The 21529-nt window shown below is 35.7% G+C and overlaps 1 protein-coding gene across 27 annotated transcripts in view; it reads left to right on the forward strand.

The window, feature by feature from the left end:
- The window catches only part of CEP350 (centrosomal protein 350), a 160066-nt gene that overhangs the window by 19390 nt on the left and 119147 nt on the right, over window positions 1-21529 (forward strand). For 11 of the 27 annotated variants that reach the window (NM_014810.5, XM_047435376.1, XM_047435384.1 and 8 more), the window contains exons 2-5: window positions 11970-12055; window positions 13041-13087; window positions 16308-16422; window positions 17863-18022. In NM_014810.5, the coding sequence (NP_055625.4) occupies window positions 11983-12055; window positions 13041-13087; window positions 16308-16422; window positions 17863-18022 (395 nt within the window). In that variant the 5' untranslated portion in view covers window positions 11970-11982. The remainder of the gene's footprint in view (window positions 1-11969; window positions 12056-13040; window positions 13088-16307; window positions 16423-17862; window positions 18023-21529) is intronic. The other 16 variants (XM_047435400.1, XM_047435392.1, XM_047435433.1 and 13 more) reach the window with 3 other exon arrangements.

The following is a 21529-nucleotide window of genomic DNA, read 5'->3' on the forward strand; positions in this document are numbered from 1 at the left end:
CTCCCACGTAGCTGGGACCACAGGTGCCTGCCACCACGTCTGGCTAATTTTTTGGTATTTTTAGTAGAGACAGAGTTTCACCATGTTAGCCAGGATGGTCTCGATCTCCTGACCTTGTGATCCGCCTGCCTTGGCCTCCCAAAGTGCTGGGATTACAGGCGTGAGCCACTGTGCCTGGCCTATTTTTTTCTGTTTAAATGGAGCTCATAACAGCTTCTAATGCTGCCGTTTGTTCATCTGTTCATTGAAGGTTCTGTTGATCTCTAGATGGGTAAGAAGATACAGTCCTTAAGGACCACACAACCTTGTGGGGAGACTGATACATATATGCTATTTGTAACTCTATTACAGCACTCATTATATTGTATACTATTTGTTTATGTGTGTCTCTCCTCTACTTGATTGTGAGCCATAAGTGCTCAGTGAATGTTCATTGAATGAATGAATTATGTATGATATATGTATGTGTGTATGTATATATAATGACAAGAACTATGAAAAATGAACAGAGGCCAACCATGGTAGCTCATGCCTGTATTCCCAGTGCATTGGGAGGCCAAGGCAGGAGGATTGCTTGAGGCCAGGATTTGAAGAACAGCCTGAGCAACAGGAGAGATCTGTCTCTTAAAAAAATAAGATAAATTCGTTGGACATGGTGGCGCATGCCTGTAGTCCTAGCAACACAGGAGGCTGAGGCAGGTGGATCGCTTGAGCCCACGAGTTTCAGGCTACAGTGAGCCATGATTGCACCACTGTACTCCAGCCTGGGTGACAGAGCAAGACCGTGTCTCTAAAAAAGAAAAAAAAAGAAAAGGAAAAAATGAAGAGAATACTATAGGAAACAGAGAAGTACTAATTGAAGTACTAATTTTATTAAGAGCCAGTTTGGGAAAGATTTATAGGAGATGACATTAGAGTTTGGCTTTGAAGGGCATTCTTGCCAGATAAAATTTAGGAAAAGACAATGTGGAGATAATGAAATTTTCTGGATATTCAGAAAGTGTACTCTAGATATACCTATTCGACAGGAAAGTAGTTATACAGTTTTGCTTAAAAAAAAATAAAAAGATGAGACTGTAAATTAATGTTGTGAAGGTCTCCAAGTGTCCATCATGCTAAGGAGTTTGGAGCTCTGTCCCATAAATGATAGTCATTGAAGAGTTATAAAATCAGAATTGCTAGGTTCTGTTTTAGAACGATAACTTTGATTGCAGTATGGAGAATGGATTTAGGAGCAGGATAATTTAGGAAGCTTTTACCATAATTTAAGCTAAAGATGATGCTTTGAACAGAGGCAAGGGGAAGAAAGAAAGAAATTAGAGAAACATCTTAATTTTTTTTTTTACAAATAGCTTTATGTATGAGGCATATTTTACATATAATAAAGAAACAAAGGTATAAATGATATGATAACTAAGTATATGATGGAACGTGGGAGAGATAGGAATGTCAAAGATGAATTGGATGCATGTTAATCCAATTTATTAAGAGTACAAGAAGAAAATTTTGAAGATAGATAATGAATTTATTTGGTTTTGAACATGAAAAATTTGAGGTGCCAATGGTGCTTGGTGATAGACATCTAATAGACTGAAAACTTGCATCTAGAGCTCAGAAATAGATCTAAGGAGGAAATAGAACATTTAGGAAATAAAGCCATGAAAGTACGTGAGGTTGCCTGGGTAGAAGGAGCTAGAGAACAAGAGGCCCAGGAAAAAGCCTTGGAAATGTTACCATTGATGAATTAGACAGAAGTAGAGAACCCATCAGGAGTTAAGAGAGGTAAGAGAAAAAAACAATCAAGAGGCAAGGGAAACAGGAGAAATATGTTTTACGAATCCCAAGAGTAGTGAGAGTTTTAAGGTGAAAGTTTAAGATCCCAAATATTCATAACTTAGTGTTGTATGCCTGTTGACTGGAAAATTGTATTACTAGAATGTAGGCATATTTCCTAGGTTTTCTAGACAGATACAATTCTTTTTTAATGTTTAAATTGTTCTAAGACTTTCATAAGAATAAGCCTGTAAATCAGAAAAAAAAATAGCTTTTTAGACTATACTCCAATTTTTGGTTTAAAAAACATAGACTTTTTAGTTGAAGGACTGTTCATAACAAAGTGAAAGATAAAAGCAACATTTTATCAGTGGGCTTAAAAGAAAACATTTTCTGATGACCAGAGAAAACCCTGCACACATCTCTGAGAGGAACTGTCATTCATTTTGGGGTATTTTCTCTATTCTGTCTCTTAAAAACAGTACATTTCTTAACACTTTTTTTGTAGTATATTTGAGATTCATTTCCAGTATGCTACAAAAAATGTGTTAAGAAATATATGTCCCAGCTACTTGGGAGGCTGAGGCAGGAGAATGGCATGAACCTGGGAGGTGGAGCTTGCAGTGAGCCGAGATCGCGCCACTGCACTACAGCCTGGGCGACAGTGAGACTCCATCTCAAAAAAAAAAAAAAGAAATATATGAATGTAAGAAATACAAGAAATGAAATATAGGAAATGAATTTCAAATATATTTTTCATTAATAGCTTTTTTCTCTCTAAGTACATGATTTAGAGGTTTGAAATGAATGATACTATTTTGTTGGATCCTCTTTTTCTGTGGGTTTTTATCTTTTATTTTTCCCCCGTAAGGAAACTCAAATAAAGGGAAATTTGTTCTAAGACTTCAGAGAGGCCTCAAAGAATGCAAGAGCAGAAAATGAGGTACTAGCATTATGGGAACTGGAAAATTGTCAAGAACAAGACCACTTTTTCCTTTTCTTTGGGGCCACTTTTATTTGTTTTTCTTTGATCTTCCTCTTTGTTTTTCATTGTATTTTTCAGCTTGGCTCCTTATAGCTCATGTTCCGTTGCTTATCCTTTCAATTCCAAAACTCTGCAGTCTGTTTTTCCGGGACTGGATAGGATGCTTTTGAGTCGCTTCCTTAGGCCTTATCCAGTCAGCTAGAGCTGGGGTGAGGGGCAGGTCTTTGTGGATCACAGTAGTGGATAGGGGTAATTCCCTAGAGAAAAGGACTAGGGGACTATGGGTGATTGATATCTCTAGTATTTACACAGCTTCATTTAACAAAGCTTTTTGGGAACATTTTGAAGGCATAATTTGTGATCAGTTGTTTTGTGCTTAGTGGGAAGGTGGCCTTTTTGACTTTTGAAAAATGTTAGAGTTGAAGGAAGATGAACATGGTAAATACTGAGTTCAGGCTAGAGGTTATTCTTTCTGGATGAGGGGAGAGAGATGAGTATGAGCAGAGTATACACAGAGGACTCCAGCCAAATTGGTAATAGTTTATTCCTTAAACCGAGAGGTAGCTACATGGGTGTTTATTATATTATTTCTTATATCACTTGATGTGAAGAAGAAAGCTATTTGCAGATAATTGAAGATCATTTGAATTTAGACCCTGGCAGACAGTAAGCCTCAGAAAATAAAGCAGTCCAAAAGGCTACTGAAGGCTTAGGACATTACTGTACACTATGTAGACTTTATAAACACTGTGCACTTAGGCTACACTAAGTTGATTAAAAAATCTTTCTTCAGTTATAACCTTAGTTTACTGTAACTTTTTTTACTTTATAAACTTTAATTTTTTAAAACTTTTTGACTCTTTTGTAATAATTCTTAGCTTAAAACAAATATACAGCTGTACAGCAATAGTTTATATCCTTATTCTGTAAGCTTTTGTTCAATTTAAATTTTTATGTTTTTACTTTTTATACTTTAAAAATATTTTTATCTATAAAAATATATTTTATAAAATAAAATATGTATAAAATATGTATTTTTATTTTTAGTAAATAGCAGGAGCACACTCTATAATAACAATAAAAAGTATGGTATAGTAAATCCTAGGCGATAGAAATTTTTCAGCTCCAATATAGTTTTAAGAGACCACTGTCATATATGTGGTTTGTGTTGACCAAAACATCATTGCATGGCGCATGACTGTACAGAGAACTTTGGCTATCTTCCATTATGAAAGTAGAATGTTGTGACAAGCTTATTACTATATAACAGAATGCTTAACTTTATCTTTTAAATTAAAAAAAAATTTAAATTGACACAATTGTTGCACATATTCATGGGGCAATAGTGATGTTTTGATACAATGTGTAGTGATCAGATCAGGGTGATTAGCACATCCATCATCTCAAATATTTATCACTTGTTTGTGTTGGGGACATTCAGTATCTTCTCTTCTGTCAACTTGAAAATATGCAATATGTTCTCGTTAACTGTGGCCATTCTACAGTGCTATAGAACACTAGAACTTATTCCTTCTATCTAGCTGTAATTTTGTATCCTTTAGCAAATCTCTCCTAAGCCCCCTTAACCCCCCTCCCAGCCCCTACTAACCTCTGTTCTACTTTTCTATGAGAAGAGCTCTTCTATGAGCTTCTGCATAGGAGTGAGAACATGCTGTGTTTAGCTTTCTGTTCCTGGCTTATTGACTTAACATAACGTCCTCCAGGCTCATCCATGTTGTTGTAAATGACATAATTTTTTTCTTTTTAAGGCTGAATGGTATTCCATTGTGCATATATATTTTTCTTTTCTTTTTTATGGAAATGTGAATGGTTTTGACTTAAAATGTGTTTTGCCTAATATAATTGTGACCTCCCGTGTTCTCATTTGGTTACTGTTTACATGCAGTTTCTTTTTTCAGCCTGCTAACTCCAGTCTATTTTTGTCATTAGATCTAAAGTGAGTCTCTTATAGACAGGATATAGTTCCATATTTTCTTCATCTCTTCATCTGTTGTCGGACACTTGGGTTGATTCCATTTCTTGGTTATTGTGAATAATGCTGCTATAAACATGGAAGTGCAGATATCTCTTCAGTATACCGATATTCTTTCCCTTGGATAAATATGCAGTAGTGGGATTGCTGGATCATATGACAGTTCTATTTGTAATTTTATGAGGAATCTCCATACTGTTTTCCATAGTGGATATACTAGTTTACATTCCCACCAATAGTATGTAAGAGTTCCTTTTTCTGTATATCCTCGCTAGCATTTGTTGTTGTCTTTTTGGTAATAGCCATTCTAACTGGAGTGAGATGATATCTTATTGTGGTATTGATTTGCATTTCCCTGATGCTTAGTGATGTTGAGCTTTTTAAAAACATGTTTCTTGACCATTTGTGTTTGCCCATTTTTAATTAGATTATTTGGGGTGTTTTTTTTTTTTTTTGCTCTTAAGTTGTTTGAGTTTTGTATGTTCTAGATATCAATTCCCTGTCAGGTGAGTAGTTTGCAAATATTTCCTCCAATTTTTTAGGTTGTTTTTTCATTCTGTTGATTGTTTCCCTTGCTGTGCAGAAGCTTTTTAGGTTGATATAATGCCATTTGTTAATTTTTGCTTTTGTTGCTTGTGCTTTTGGGGGTCTTGTTCATAAAATCTTTTACTAGACCAGTGCCCTGAACTGTTTCCCTTATGTTTTCTTCTAATTATTTTATAGTTTTGGGTTCTTATATTTAAGTCTTTAATCCCTTTCAAGTTGATTTTTGTGTAGTGTGAGAGATGGGGGTCTGTTTTCATTCTTCTGCATATGGAGATTCAGTTTTCCCAGCACTATTTATTGAAGAGACTATCCCCAATGAATGTTCTTGGCACCATTGTAAAAAATCAGTTGGCTATAAATACATGGATGTTCTCTGTTCTGTTCCATTGGTCTATATGTCTGATTTTATGGCAGTACTATGCTGTTTTGGTTACTGTAGCTTTGTAGTATATTTTGAAATCTGGTAGTGTGATGCCACCAGGTTTGTTTTCTTTGCTCAGGATTGCTTTGGCAATTTGGTGTCTTTTGTGTTTCCATATGGATTTCAGGATTGTTTTTTCTATTTCTGTGAAGAATACCATTGGTATTTTGATAAGGATTGTATTGAACCTGTAGATCACTTTGGGTTGTATGGTCATTTTAACAATATTAATTTTTCCAGTTCATGAACACAGGGTGTTTCTCTTTTTTGTGTGTTTTCTTTAACTTTTCTCATCAGTGTTTTACAGTTTCCTTTGTTGAGATTTTTTACCTCCTTGGTTAAACTTATTCCTAGGCAGATTTTTTTTTTCTTTTTTTTTGTATTTACTGTGGATGGGATTGCTTTCTTGATTTCTTTTTAAGGTAGTTCATTATTTATATATAGAATCACTACTGATTTTTGTATGTTGATTTTGTATCCTACAAATTTACTGAATTCATTTATTAGTTCTAATTTTTTTTTGGTGGAGTCTTTGGGATTTCCTATATGTATGATTATATTGTCTGAAAACAGGGACTATTTGACTTCCTCCTTTGCAATTTGGATGCCCTTTATTTCTTTCTCTTGCCTAATTACTGTGGCTAAGGTTTCCAGAACTATGTTGAACAAAAGTGGTGGAAGTAGGCATCCTTGTCTTGTTTCAGATCTTAGAGGAAAAGCTCATTCATGGATTACTAGGTTAAGAATACTTGTACTAGATTATGAGATTGTAGAGGTCAGAACCATTTCTCTCTCTCTCTTTCTCTCTCTCTCCCTCTCAGTTTTTTCATCTGTAAGGACCATTTCTTATTTTTAATTTTTTTAATAACATACAATGCTTTGCACAAAGTAGGTACTCAAAAAACATTGTTAGCACAAGCAGTTGATATGCAAGATTACTTTCCTCATTCTTAGTCCTAAAAGACAAATATTATTACATTGGGTTAAAAAATTCTATTTTCTATATACAATATATGTTTAAAAGAAAGTGATCCACAAAGCTGAGAATTAAAAGGAAAGGGCAGATTCAATAAAGCAATGTTTGCTTTTTATTAATAGCATGCAAAGTAGAATTAAATACTAAAACACATTTCTCTAGGGATAAACATAGTCATTTTTTATTGATGAAATATAAAATCCATTGACAGCATAACCATGAACTTTTATATACCAAATAATATCAAGTTATTTAGAAGTTAAATATTTTAGAAATATGAAATGGACAAAAATTCAGTACTTCCAGTGAATTTTTGTCCATCTCTTAATTCTTGGCAAATTAAATAGACAAAAGATAATACACAAATGTCCAACAAATAAATAAATCCAAATTTCCCATATGACTGTAGAATAAAGTTATTGTCATGATATCTCTAAAACATTTAACTGGGAAGGTGCTTTCATTATTCCGCAAGAAGTGATCTTGAATAATCTGTTTGACTTGGTAAACACTTAAAACTGGTTGGGAAAAAGGCCTTATGCAAATTGAGATTTATACTTTAAAGATAGTAAACCTTTTGATAGATTATTTTATTATAAGTAAGTTTTTTATTGCACTTTTTTCACTAATTCAATTTTCAGTTTCTACAAAAATGGTGATTTAAAAAATGTATTCTTAAAGAACAGACCAACTTTAACACATTATGTTTAAAATATTCACTTACAGGGCATGGGATAACCAAAGATTTTGAAAGATAGATTATTGGCAAATTCAGGTGCTTCATGAGAATAGATATCATAAAACTGATTTAAAACTATAATTATAGGCTGCATCTGGTGGCTCACACCCATGATCCCAGCACTTTAGGCTGAGGTGGGAGGATCACTTGAACCCACGAATTTGAGGCCAGCCTGGGCAACATAGTGAGACCTCATCTCTATAAAAATAAAAAAAAAATTAACCGGCCATGGTGGTGTGTACCTGTAGTCTCAGCTACTTGGGAGGCTGAGGTGGGAGGAACACCTGAGCCCAGGAGGTTGAGGCTGCAGTGAGCCTTGATTGCACTACTACACTCCAGCCTGGGTAACAGAGTGACACCTTGTCTCTTAAAAAAGCCTCAAAAACTAGAATTATAAACCTAAAACAGGGCATAATTCATGTTATCTGAAAATCCTTTGAAGTATAATATACATTGAAAAAGCACATAAATGTGCAAGTTGATAAAGTCTCTTAAACTGAACGTACCATTGAAATCAGCACCCAAATCCATGAATATTAGCAGTACCTCAGAAGCACTTCCTTGCTCCAATTTCAGCCACCTCTCTAGCCACTTCAAGGGTGATGACTATCCTCACTTCTAGCACTATAGATTCCTTTTGCCTATTTTATACTTTATTTAATGGAACTATATGGTATATACTCTTGTTTCTGGCATTCTTCACAACAGGTTTGTGATATTCAACTATCTTTTTGCATGTAGTTGTAATTCATTCTCATTATTAGTGGGGGATACTCTACAGTATGAAGTTTTACATAAATGTCATACTTTTAATATTTAGTAATTTATATTAAAGATGATTGCCCATTAATAGGGTATTTATTTTGAAGCAGATAAATTTTCTCTTGTTTATTCATTTATACTGTCTCAGCCTTAGTGTTAGCTAAGAAGACATAGAGATTGTGGACACATATGTAGTTTTTGATTATTTATTATATCCTTTCCATTGGAAAATTGATAATCACTATATATTTCAGCACTTATTTTAGTTTTAAAGCAAAAAGATATCTGCCCAAAGAAATTTTTTGTCTAATCATTGACAGATATTCTAGTAATATAACTGATGTTTACTTAATTTTTCAGTTGGCTAGATTAAAAATATTTTCATCAAAAGGAAAATGAGTTTTTTGTTGTTGTTGAGATGGAGTCTTGCTCTGTTGCAAGGCTGGAGTCTTGTGGCGCGATCTTGGCTCACTGCAACCTCCGACTCCCTGGTTCAAACGATTCTCCTGCCTCAGCCTCGTGAGTAGCTGGGATTACAGGCACCCGCCACCATGCCTGGCTAATTTTTGTATTTTTAGTAGAGACAGAGTTTCACTGTGTTGGCCAGGATGGTCTTGATCTCTTGACCTCATGATCCACCTCCTGCGGCCTCCCAAAGTGCTGGGATTACAGGCGTGAGCCACCGCGCCCAGCCAAAATGAGTTAATTTCTTAAACTGTGTTGGCAGATTAAAGTTTTATGGTTGATAAAATGTTGTTTTTCTACCATGCTCCTTTATTTTCAGGAAACTTGTTTACTTTTCTTAGAGCCATATTCTATAATCTATGAAAAAATTCTAGTTTTGGAACTTTTTTTTTTGAGACGGAGTCTCGCTCTCTTGCTCAGGCTGGAGTGCAGTGGTGCGATCTTGGCTCACTGTAACCTCTGCCTCCTGGGTTCAAGCAATTCTTCTGCCTCAGCCTCCTGAGTAGCTGGGCTTACAGATGTGCGCCACCATGCCTGGCTAATTTTTGTATTTTTAGTAGAGACAGGGTTTCGCCATGTTGGCCAGGCTGGTCTTGAACTCCTGACCTCAGGTGATCCACCTGCCTCAGCCTCCCAAAGTGCTGGGATTACAGGCTTGAGCCACTGTGCCTGGCCCTATTTTTAGAACATTTTTGAGGTGTTTTCTAGGAAATTTATGGATCAGGATTATTTACCCTGATAAATCAGATTAAATTAACTTCCTTAAAAATTAACCATACCTTTTAGTTTTACATATTTGGACTTAATAGGTGAGCCCTTCTTTTTCTTAAATTTAAATTGGTGTTTTTAATATTCAACATACCGTACTGCCTCTGCATACAACTAAGTGGAGAAAATAATGTTTATCAAATATGACAGGTTTAATATATTTGTAAGGCAAATAACTCATTAACTTGATAAGAAAAACATTAAGATCCTGGTAGGTACGTGGGCAAAGGATAGAAAAGATAATTCACCAATGAAGCACTAAGGTTAAGATATAGAGCAGAACGTTTAATCCTGCTAGCATCTACCAAATTCAAATTAAAGCATAGATTTTTTTCCTGTTAAATCAGCAAAAGTAGAAAGAATAGATAATCTTAAGATATTTATGAAACAGGTAGGCCCTTCTTGGAAGACAATTTGACATTGTATTTCAAGAGCAGCATGTTCTTCACATTCTTTTGTTCAGTTTTAGCACACTTTGCAGATACTGTTCTAGGTAACCAAATAAGCAGAAATTCATAAATACAAATATGTTCATTTCAGTGTTATTTGTAATAGAGAAAATGGGACATAATATTGTATTGGTTATCTCTTGTTGTCTAACTCATAACCTCCCACCCCAATTTAAGCATTTTAAAACACCAAGCATTTGTGATCTCACATTTTCTGTATGTAAGGAATTTGGGAGCAGCTCATCTGGGTGATTTTGGCTCAATGTCTCTCATAAGGTTGCAGTCAGGATGTCAGGTAGAGCTGTAGTCCTGTGAAGATTTGACTTGGTCTGGAGGATCTACTTGCAAGGGGATAGCTCACCCACATAGCTATAGGCAGGCGGCTTCAGTTCTTTGCCACATGGACATCTATAGGATTGCTTGACTGTTCTTAGGACATGGCACCTGTATCCAAAGAGAGATGAGAATGCGTTTTATAGCCTAGTCTCAGAAGTCACATATTGTCACTTTCACCACATGTGATATTAGTTTAAAATAAGTCTCTAAGTCCCACCATACTCAATGGGAGAATAATTAATTTCCACATTTTGAAGAAAGGAGTATCAAAGAAATTTTGGATATATTTTAAAACCACCACAAGTGTCCAGCAGTTAAGTAAAGTAGGGCACAAAATTGAAGTTACAGTGATGATAGTAATAAAATTACTTATTAATGATTATATTAGGATTTAGGGAGTAATGAGTTTTTATTCTTATATTTTTCAAACTTTCTGTGTTGTTACATGATTTTTATAAAAGACTAGTTCCTCTATATTCATAGGAAAATACAGTATTACTTATCACTGAGCTAACCATGGGCAGATCATGATCTTTCCCTTTGAGTTGTGATATGATTTTTTTCCTTTCTTTTTTTATTGTGGTAACATATACATAACAAAATTTACCATTACAACCATTTCTTAAGTGTACAGTTCAGTGGTGTTAAGTACATTCATATTGTTGTACAACCATCACCACCATCCATTTCCAGATTTCTTTTCATTTTGCAAAACTGAAACCCATTAAACAGTAACTCTCCATTCTTCTCTTTTCCCAGCCCCTGACAACCACCATTCTACTTTCTGTCTCTATGTTTTTGACTATTCTGACTGTCTCATGTAAGTGGCACCATACAGTATTTGTCTTTTTGTGATTAGCTTATTTCACTTAGTATAATGTCCTCCAGATTCTTTCATGTTATAGCACATATCAGATTTCCTTCCTTTTAAGGCTGAATAATATTCTATTTTATATATAAATGTCATTTTGCTTATTCATTCATCTGTTGATAGACATTTGGGCTACTTCCACGTTAGCTACTATGAATAATGCTGCTTTGAACATGGTTGTACAAATAGTTCCTTGAGCCTCCACAAGCATTTTGGTTGTATACTGTATTAGTCCATTCTTACACTGCTATAAATTATCCAAGACTGGGTAATTTATAAAGAAAAGATGTTTAATTGATTTACAGCTCTGCATGGCTGGGGAGGCCTCAGGAAACTTACAATCATGGCAGAAGGCACCTACCTCTTTGCAGGGTGGCAGGAGAGAGAATTAGTGCAAGCAGGGGAAATGCCAGACGCTTATAAAACCGTTAGATCTCACGAGACTCACTTATTATCATGAGAACAGCATAGGGGAAACTGCCCCCCTGATCCAATTACTTCTACCTGGTCCCGCCTATGACACTTGGGGATTATGGAGATTACAATTCAGGGTGAGATTTGGGTGGGGACACAGAACCAAACCATATCATATATCTAGAAGTGGAATTGCTGGATCTTACAGTAATTCTAATTTTACTTTTTTTAGGAACTGCCACACTGTTTTCCATAGTGATTGTGTCATACATTCCCACGAACAGCACACACGGGTTCTAGTTTTGCAAATCTTTGCCAGCTGTTATTATTTTGTGTGTTTTTGATAGTAGCTTGTCCTATTTACATCCTAATGGGTGTGAAGTAGTCATAATATAATTTTTAATGATTTATTTTTCTAAGGAAAAGTAATATTATAAGATTGATGTTCGGTGAATACTGATGTGATTGCAGGTAAATTGGCAGGATGAGGAGCAGCAAATCAAAAGAGGTGCCTTTACCAAATCCAAGGAACTCTCAAAGCAAGGATACTGTTCAAGGTATGATTTTGTTTTTTTAAACAGAACTTAATACCTCATTTAGGTCATGTGTATTAAATTTTGGTCTAATAAATGAAAATTATACCTATGCTTTGATTTATAGAAAGTGGATAAATCATTTTAAAATTCTCTTATATTTTAAATATACCTGGTGCTTCATGTTAAAAGGCATCCTATGGTAAACTGTTTTGTAAAGCAGGAATCCTTTTTTAAAATGAACCAGTATATGTAAAATTTTTCAGAAATTCTGTCCTAATTTCAATAAATGATATAGCCCCAATATAGTTACAGACTTATAGGGGTACAGATAATAATAGTAACAGTCTCATTGAATTCTTTTTAAAATAATGCATTAGAGGTAATTTTAAGGCATTGATATTTTTTGAGGGAGATTGACAAACTAGAGTACATCTGGAGGAAGATTATTAGGTTTGTGAGAGATCTGGAAATCAAGTCATATGAAGAGTAGTTGGAGGAAGTGGAAATACTTATCCTGGAGAAGGATGACTTATGGAAAATACACGACCTTAAACTATTTGAAGGGTTGTTATCTGAAAGACTGAATGGATTTTACCTATGTTTTTACTGGTAGATCAAAATCTGGAATAGCTTCTAATCTTTTTCACATTGTATTATAAGATACAGTACAATATAAAATTTTATATTTGTTCAGCTCATTGGGGTAAACTGAGGATGCTGCTTTTTTTTGGAGCTGTCTGATACAGGTGTGAGTGGAAATGCCAGTCCAATGGTAGCAGTGTCTGTTTACCTTTAAACCGTATGTTGGGAATGTTGGCTTAATAATCTTATAGATAAAAACCCATTTTGACTCAATATAATAAAGCATTTGCTGAGGAATTGTTCTGCCTAATAAGGTAGTTTTCAGACTTTTGAGTGCATTTGGGAGCTTATTAAAATTCAGATTCTGAGGTCTAATTCAGAGATTCTGGTTGATTGATAAAGTAAATATCATTTTTTTTCCCAGCAGATATAACCACATCGTGGGATGCACTTTCTCAAACCAAGGCTGCTGTAAGTAGTTTTAGCTTCCATTTATTTATTTCTGGATTAAAATCAATTTCCTGTTATGATTGAATAGATTAAAATGTTTTCCATACTGTTCTTTAAATACTATATATTACTATAGAATAATACTATATATTATTATATATACTATATAAAATATGTATACACTATATATAATATATATACTATATACAGTATATACTTATATACATAGTATATAGTAATATTATAGTATTATCATATATAATATATAATATATTATAAAATGAACATAAATGACAACTATTAAATGGTAAAGTCATAAACAAGATACTACTTTAGGAATTAGGAGCACAAGCATCATGCCATATAAACTATTAAAATTGGCTGGTTGCGGTGGCTTACTCCTGTAATCCTAGCACTTTGGGAGGTTGAGGTGGGTAGATAGCTTGAGCCCAGGAGTTTGAGATTAGCCTGGGCAACATGGCAAAGCCCTGTCTCTACCAAAAAACAAAATTTAGCCAGGCCTGGTGGTGTGCACCTGTAGTCCCTGCTACTCAGGAGGCTGAGGCAGGAGGATTGCTTGAGCCCAGGGAGGTTGAGGCTTCGAGGTTGCAGTGACCCTTGATTGTGCCACTGCACTTTAGCCTGAATGACAGAGCAAGACCCTGTCTCAATAATAATAATAATAATAATTTGTACTGTTTATTCACCTTTAATAAATTTGTTCATTTGGTATGTGGAAAAGAGAATTTAGACTGAATGCAGTGGCTCATCCTGTAATCCCAGCACTTTGGAAGGCCAAGGTGAGAGGATCGTTTTGAGCCCAGGCATTCAAGACCAGCCTGTAAAACATGGCAAAACCCTGTCTCTACAAAAGTACAAAAATTAGCTGGGTGTGGTGGCATGTGCCTGTGGTCCCAGCCACTCGGGAGGCTGAGGTGGGATGATTACCTGAGCCCAGGAGCTCAAGACTGCAGTGAGCTATGATCACACCACTGCATTCTAGCCTGGGCGACAGAGTGAGATCCTGTCTCAAAAAAAAAAAAAAAAAATTTAAAACAGAGGATGAAGGTAGGGCTTTGTCTATGTAGAAAGCTCATTGTTAGGGAGGAAATGAAGGAAACCAACTTCTTGAATAGACTGTGAATTATTCTTCCTTTCCAATTTGGATGCCCTTTATTTCTTTCTGTGGTCTGATTGCTCTAGCTGGGACTTCCAGTACTATGTTGAATAACAGTGTTAAAAGAGTTACTTCTTTTTTGTATCAATAACAGGTTGTTTTTTTTCTCTTACCACTGAAGAAGAATGACTATGGGCAACCTGTTCCCATTTGTGTTCTGGCCAATCTTGTCTAAAGTTTAGGAATCCAAATTTGGCAGGTGATGCATAGTTCATTCAAAGGGAAACCCTTTTTTTTTTTTAATTTGCTCTCTGGGCAAATTACTTTCCTAATATACCCTTTTTTGTTTTCTATGCCACCTGATTTTGAATCACCTATTTCTTTACTAAGTATTTCAGTGATATTTTCTGTCCTCTAATCTTTAGAACTAGTTTGAAAATAAATCTGGAAAAGGTGTTATAACCTAGATTTGGTCCCAATGCAGAGTCATATTTTGGCCCTATAAATATAGCAATATATATTCTCTTTCTTCTACCTGAGCATTATGTTTTCTATAGTGTAGAAATAGTTTTTATCCCCCAGCTTAACTTAGTGCTAAACTAATTTAGAGTTTAGCACTAAGTTAATAACTGTTAATAGTTGTTTTTCAAAACTATTGGGTGTTTTTGAAGAACATTTAAGGATGATAAAGGAATATAAGTAGGGGAGACAATCTGATGTAGAACTATTAATATATCATAAATTATTCCAATTTTTAAAATACATTGGGATGCAAAAATCTGAAGGAAGGCTGGGCGCAGTGTCTCACGCCTGTAATCGCAGCACTTTGGGAGGCTGAGGCACGTCAATCACTTGAGCTCAGGAGTTCGAGATCAACCTGGACATTTGGGAGCTTATTAAAATTCAGATTCTGAATTTTAAACTCCATCTCTACAAAAAAAAATACAAAAATTAGCTGGGCATGGTGGTGTACATCTGTAGTCCCAGCTATTTGGGAGGCTGAGGTGGGAGGATCGCTTGAGCCCAGGAGGCAGAGGTTGCAGTTAGCTGAGATCATGTCACTGCACTCCAGCCTGGGTGACAGAGTGAGACCCTGTCTCAAAAAAAAAAAAAAAAATCTGAAGGAAGATATATCAAAATTTTATATAAAATGTCTATATGTGATGGAATTTTGATTTTAATTTCATTTTTTATATTGTTTCTGTTTTCCTAGTTTTTTGTTGTAAGCATGTAATACTTTACCATTTAGGAGAAAATGCTTTTCAGTCATTGAGAACTTTGGTGGTTATAATCAAAAGTTGACTTATATTGCAGAGTGTGTATGTGAAACCTGAATTCTATCTTGCGAATTTTGTCTTTATTGTGAAACTTATTTTATAGACATAAAACTGTAAAACACTGTGGCTGTTTGAGTACCTATAGTCCTAAATTTTGGTTCAGGTAAATAATTCTTTCCTCATTTTTGCGTGTAAAATGCACAGGATATATTGCATAATGGTATGTCACATATAAAGTCAGATAATTGGCTGGGCATAGTGGCTCACGCCTGTAATCCCAGCACTTTGGGAGGCTGAGGTGTGTGGATCACCTGGGGTCAGGAGATCGAGACCAGCCTGGCCAACATGTGGAAACTCCATCTCTACTAAAACTACAAAAATTAGCCCGGCGTGGTGGCGCACGCCTGTAATCCCAGCCTCTAGGGAGGCTGAGGGAGAATCTCTTGAACCCGTGAGGTGGAGGTTGCAGTGACCTGAGATCACGCCACTGCACTCCAGCCTGCGCGACAGACCGAGACCGTCTCAAAAAAAAAAAAGTCAGATAATTTACTACTTTGAAAATACTCAACAATTTAAAAAATAGATCAACATGTCAAATGGAAACTCTTTGATATTCTTCAGAATCTTACTGATTTTCTTGTCTAAATTTGGGGAGCATTGTGCCAGATGTTATTATAGCTAAAGTAAAAAATGATGAAAAACAAATATTATAAGAAAGGATTCCTGAGTTTTTTTCTACTTTGGAAAAAGGTATTGGGCAATATACTTTTAAATAACCATGTAAATTGATGGTAGCTGGATTATTTACAGAATTAACTTATGTCTTATGATGGTGTTTAAACTTTAGCTGAGACACATTGAAAATAAATTAGAAGTAGCCCCTACAAGTACAGCTGTGTGTGATTCTGTCATGGATACCAAGAAGTCTTCTACAAGTGCTACTCGAAAAATAAGTAGAAAAGGTATGTATGAAGTTACTTCCAAATATATACATATATTAAATATAAATTTTGACAAAACAGACAGCTAGATCTACAGGGGTGTGCCACCACACCTGGCTAATCTTTTTTTATCTTTTGTAGAGACGAAGTCTCTCTGTGCTGCCCCAGCTTGTCTTGAACTCCTGGCCTTAAGTAATCCTCTCATCTTGGACTCCTTTTAAAGTGCTGGGATTATAGGTGTAGCTACCACACTCTACCTTAAATATAAGTTGTTGATGTAATAGTTTTATTTCAGTTTGATTTCTTCTTACAGTCTCGTGTTGTTTGCTTTTTTGTCAGAGACACTGGCATTTAATTTTTTTCCTTTGATATTTGGTAGCTATGAAGCAGCCTCATGTTCAGTAACCGTAGATGGTGTTTTCACCATCTTTTGACCAGGGACTTTAGCACTATTGCATCACCCTTGACAATGAGTTTTCATTTGTTTTTAGTGATGAGAGTTTCATTTTGAGGTTATATATGTCTGATTTTTTTTTTTAATTCACAGATATATAGCACTTTGGAAATGAAATTTAGTTGACTTAACGTATATTTTTCTTGGGATTTAAAATCATAAATGGAATCTCTTTCATATGGTGACTGTCATAAATTGATACAATGCAAATTTTTCTTGGGTTACCTTTTGTATTTTGATTCTGTGGTTTCTTTCTTTTCTTTTTTTTTTTTTTTTTTTTGAGACAGAGTCTCACTCTGTCGCCCAGGCTGAAGTGCAGTGGCATGATCTCTACTCACTGCAACCTCTACGTCCTGGGTTTAAGCGATTCTCCTGAGTAGCCGCGCCACCGGGCCTTTCTAATTTTTGTATTTTTAGAAGAGATGGGGTTTCACCATGTTGGTCAGGCTGGTCTCAAACTCCTGACCTCGTGATCCGCCTGCCTTGGCCTCCCAAAGTGCAGGGATTACAGGCGTGAGCCACCATGCCAGGCCATTCTGTGGTTTCTTAATTGGTGGGTGAAAACCTCCATGTCAGTACTCTCTACCTAAACTGTGATATGTATATATATATATGTGTGTGTGTGTGTGTGTGTGTGTGTGTGTGTGTGTGTGTATATATATATATATATACATTTTTTTTTAACCTGGGAGTTTGTTAGGTTGTATATGATACTTCTCTCTTAAGTGAGTGAGAGCCATGACAAAAAATAAATTTTATGTGTAGAATTTTATTTTGCATTGTTTCCTCAGAATACAATTTCTGTATCAATGGAGTTACTTTAACAATTTAACCTGAATGTTTTTCATGTACTTATATAATATCCAACTAGAGATACTAGAGATAACTTATATAATATCCAACTATTAGAAATAATAGATACCTAATTTTTTTTTTAAGATACCAGCCTAATTCAGAGGCAGTTGTATTTTATATTATATGTTCTCACAGATTTCCTTTTCCTTCAGATGGTAGATACCTGGATGATTCTTGGGTTAATGCTCCAATCTCCAAATCCACTAAATCACGAAAAGAGAAATCTCGTAGTCCTCTCAGGGCCACCACCCTGGAGAGTAATGTGAAGAAAAATAATCGTGTGGAATTTCGTGAACCTTTGGTTTCTTATAGGTTAGTATTGAGAAAAAAAAAAGGTATCAAATAGGTTTAGCCTGTAATATTTACAGTAAGAGTATACGTTGTTTTCTGAGTTTTTTATAGCACTCTGGTTGTGAAATAGTATAATACTCTAATATTACTACCTTTTTCATTCTCCACAAAAGATGGCTACAAAAGATAGTGCAAACATGAAATACTGACTGCAGTAGCCTCTTCTGCAGATAAATATTCGAGGGGGAAGAAATAGTAATAGTTGCCTCAAGCCACCTTTATTGTAATAAATACGTTTCCTAGAAACAAATTATTCCATCTCTGGAAGTGTGGCTTTTTTGTTTCGTCTTAATATCTCAGATCATTTATTTTATATAGTGAACTTTATATTGCTTACTTTTTTTCTTTTTTTTTGGGTAGCATTAATTAGTCACATAAAATTCCTATCTTATTGAGAATGTGAGTTGATTTATTGTTTTATTTTGTTGCCAATGGCTTTCAGCAACTTAGATGTTCAAGATTGATGTATGAATTTTGATAGCATAGATGATATAAAATGCTTTGCATTTTTGTTAACATAGCTTAAGATATTCAACTGATAAACTTACAGAATTTTGTATTTGAGGGACACTTTACTAATGATTTCAGTGCATTCATGCTCTTATAATAAGTAATAAACACTGGGCCTGTTTTTTTGTTTCATTTGTAAGCATTTTTTGGTGTTTTAAACACAAATCAAGAAGTTTCATGATGATACTTGGTAGTTCTAGGTATATGTTTGTACTCTTAAATTTTACATACCTTGAGAGATGGAGATGGACTGTCAGTTCAATGTTTAATATGTTGCATTTGATGCAATTTTGAATTATCTCGGTGGAAATTTTAAGTAGGCATTTAAAAATTTGGGTAAGAATGTATCTGGGATGGTCAGGCCTGAGAATATAAATCTGGGAGTTATCACTAGTATCGAAGCACTAGAAGTGCTGGAAAAATTATAGAAAGAAGGTCAGGGGTATAATCTGGGTAAAGTTCAGAGTTAAAAAAAAGAAGGGAAAAGTTTGAAGAAGAATAATCGAAGTTTAGAATCTCTAAACACACAGATATTAAGCAGCTTGCCTAGAGACATAATCATTACCAGAATTGAGACTGAGTTGCTCACTTTATATTTATGTTCAGTGTTCTTCCTGTAAATAATACTACTTTACATTTAAAAGTATGTAAATTATGGTTTTTTGTTTTTGAGACAAGGTCTTGCTCTGTTGCCCAGGCTGGAGTGCAGTGGCATAATCATGGCTCACTGCAACCTCCACCTTCTGGACTCAGGCGATTCTCTCACCTCAGCTTCCTAGCTGAGGCTTACAGGCGCTAGCTACCATGACCGACTAATTTTTTTTTGTATTTTTGGTAGAGGCGGGGTTTCACCATATTGCCCAGGGTGGTCTTGAACTCATGGGGTGGTCTTGAACTCATGGGCTCAAGTGTTCTGTCTGCCTCGGCCTCCCAAAGTGCTTGGATTACAGTTGTGAGCCACTGCGGCTGGCCTGTAAATTATGTATCTTTTAAGAAAAGAAAAAATACCCAGAAGATAGCTGTGAATGGAATACCCTCCACCTGGTGGATTCCATTCCTCACTTAAAACTCTTATTACTTTCTGTGGGAAAAATGACCAGATCTGTTTCTACCCCACTCCCATTTTCCCAACCTAGTTCATCATCCCTCTCTGCTCCCAAAGTACTGTGTAACTTCCTCTATTAAAACATTTTCAGGTTGCATTATGTTTTGGTTCCATATCTGCCCATTAGTCTATCTAAGGATGTAAATCTTACTCTCAAGGCCTTAGCTTAATGCCTAGCATGTACTAAATATTAAATAAATATTTTTTCCTAAAATATTACCAGGAAAAATTTCAAATTTACAGAAAAGTTGAAAGAATTGTATAGTGAACATCCTTATATGTATTCAGTAAATATTTAATGAGTGAGTGAATGAAAGACTGTATGAAATTACTTTTTGTTGGGGGGGTGTTAATTTTCTGTCCTCTTTTGAGAGTGGGACATGGTACGTAACCTAACATTTTATGTTTTATTTTATTTTTGCGTGTGCTAATTTTAGAACTAAATTATTTTAACTGTGAATTGTTACAGTCTTGTTAATATAGTGAAAATAATCACATTTAGCCTCGGTCTCTGATGGTAGCTACAGGACTCATTTCACAGCCCTATCTCTTTCTTTTTTCTTTTCTTTTTTCTTTCTTTCTTTTTTTTTTTTTTTGAGACAGTGTCTCACTCTGTTGCCCAGGCTGGAGTCCAGTGGCCCAATCACAGCTCACTACAGCCTTGATCTCCTAGGCTCAAGCCATCCTCCCACCTCAGCTTCCCGAGTAGCTGGGACTACAGACAGGCGCCACCACTCCCAGCTAATTTTTGTATTTTTTGTAGAGACAGGTTTTTGCCGTGTTGCCCAGGCTGGTCTCATACTCCTGGGCTCAAGCAATCTGCCCACCTTGGTCTCTCCAAGTGCTGAGATTACAGGTGTGAGCCACCACACCTGGCGATCCCATCTTTTTCAATAATCAACCACTCAGAACAGGATCTAAAGTTTTTTGGGTTGTGGACCCCAGTGAGAATCTGACAAAAGCTGTAGACTGTTTTCTTAGAAAAATGCACACGCTCATATGATCTCAGTAGAAACAGTTACTATGTTATGTTGTTGTGGCCTTGAGAATCTTTGTAGTACTTAGGGTTTTATGCTTTTACCTGAAATGCCCTAGATCAGATCAGTGCTATACAATAGAACCATTAATGTGAGCCACACATGTAATTTCAACATTTTTAGTAGTCACACACAAAAAAGATATTTTACATTCCTAAATGTTTAGAACCCAGTATGTAGCTTACATTACAGCAGCTCTTAATTTCGATTAGCCACATATCATGTGCTCAATAGCCATATGTGGCTAGTGGCTGCTGTTTCAGACGTTCAGGTCCAGCCTGTTGTTAGGTCTGGTTTTATAATTTTCTTGACTTTTTTTTTCATGATTCATGTGCTCTTCTCACTGCTGAAACATTTGTCTTCATTAGCCTCCCTTTTCATAAAGTGCTTTCCTAAAATAAGGCTCAGCCAGGCACAATGGCTCACACCTGTAATCCCAGCACTTTGGAAGGCCGAGGCAGGCAGATCAACTGAGGTCAGGAGTTCAAGACCAGCCTGGCCAACCAACATGGTGAAACCCTGTCTGTACTAAAAATAGAAAAGTTAGCCAGGCATCATGGCACACACCTGTAATCCCAGCTACTCGGGAGGCTGAGGCAGGAGAATCGCTTGAACCCGGGAGGCAGAGGTTGCAGTGAGCGAGATCGCACCACTGCACTCCAGCCTGGGTGACAGAATGAGAATCCTTCTCAAAAATCAATCAATCAATCAATCTAAAGTAAGGCTTATTAGAATGACATGTAAAATAAAAATAGTCTCTGGAGGAAGATTTTTGCTAGTGTTTCTATGAGCAGAGAATATGGACTTGTGAGAGGT

Source organism: Homo sapiens, chromosome 1 (genome assembly GCF_000001405.40).
Source record: "Homo sapiens chromosome 1, GRCh38.p14 Primary Assembly".
Taxonomy (NCBI): Eukaryota; Metazoa; Chordata; class Mammalia; order Primates; family Hominidae; genus Homo; species Homo sapiens.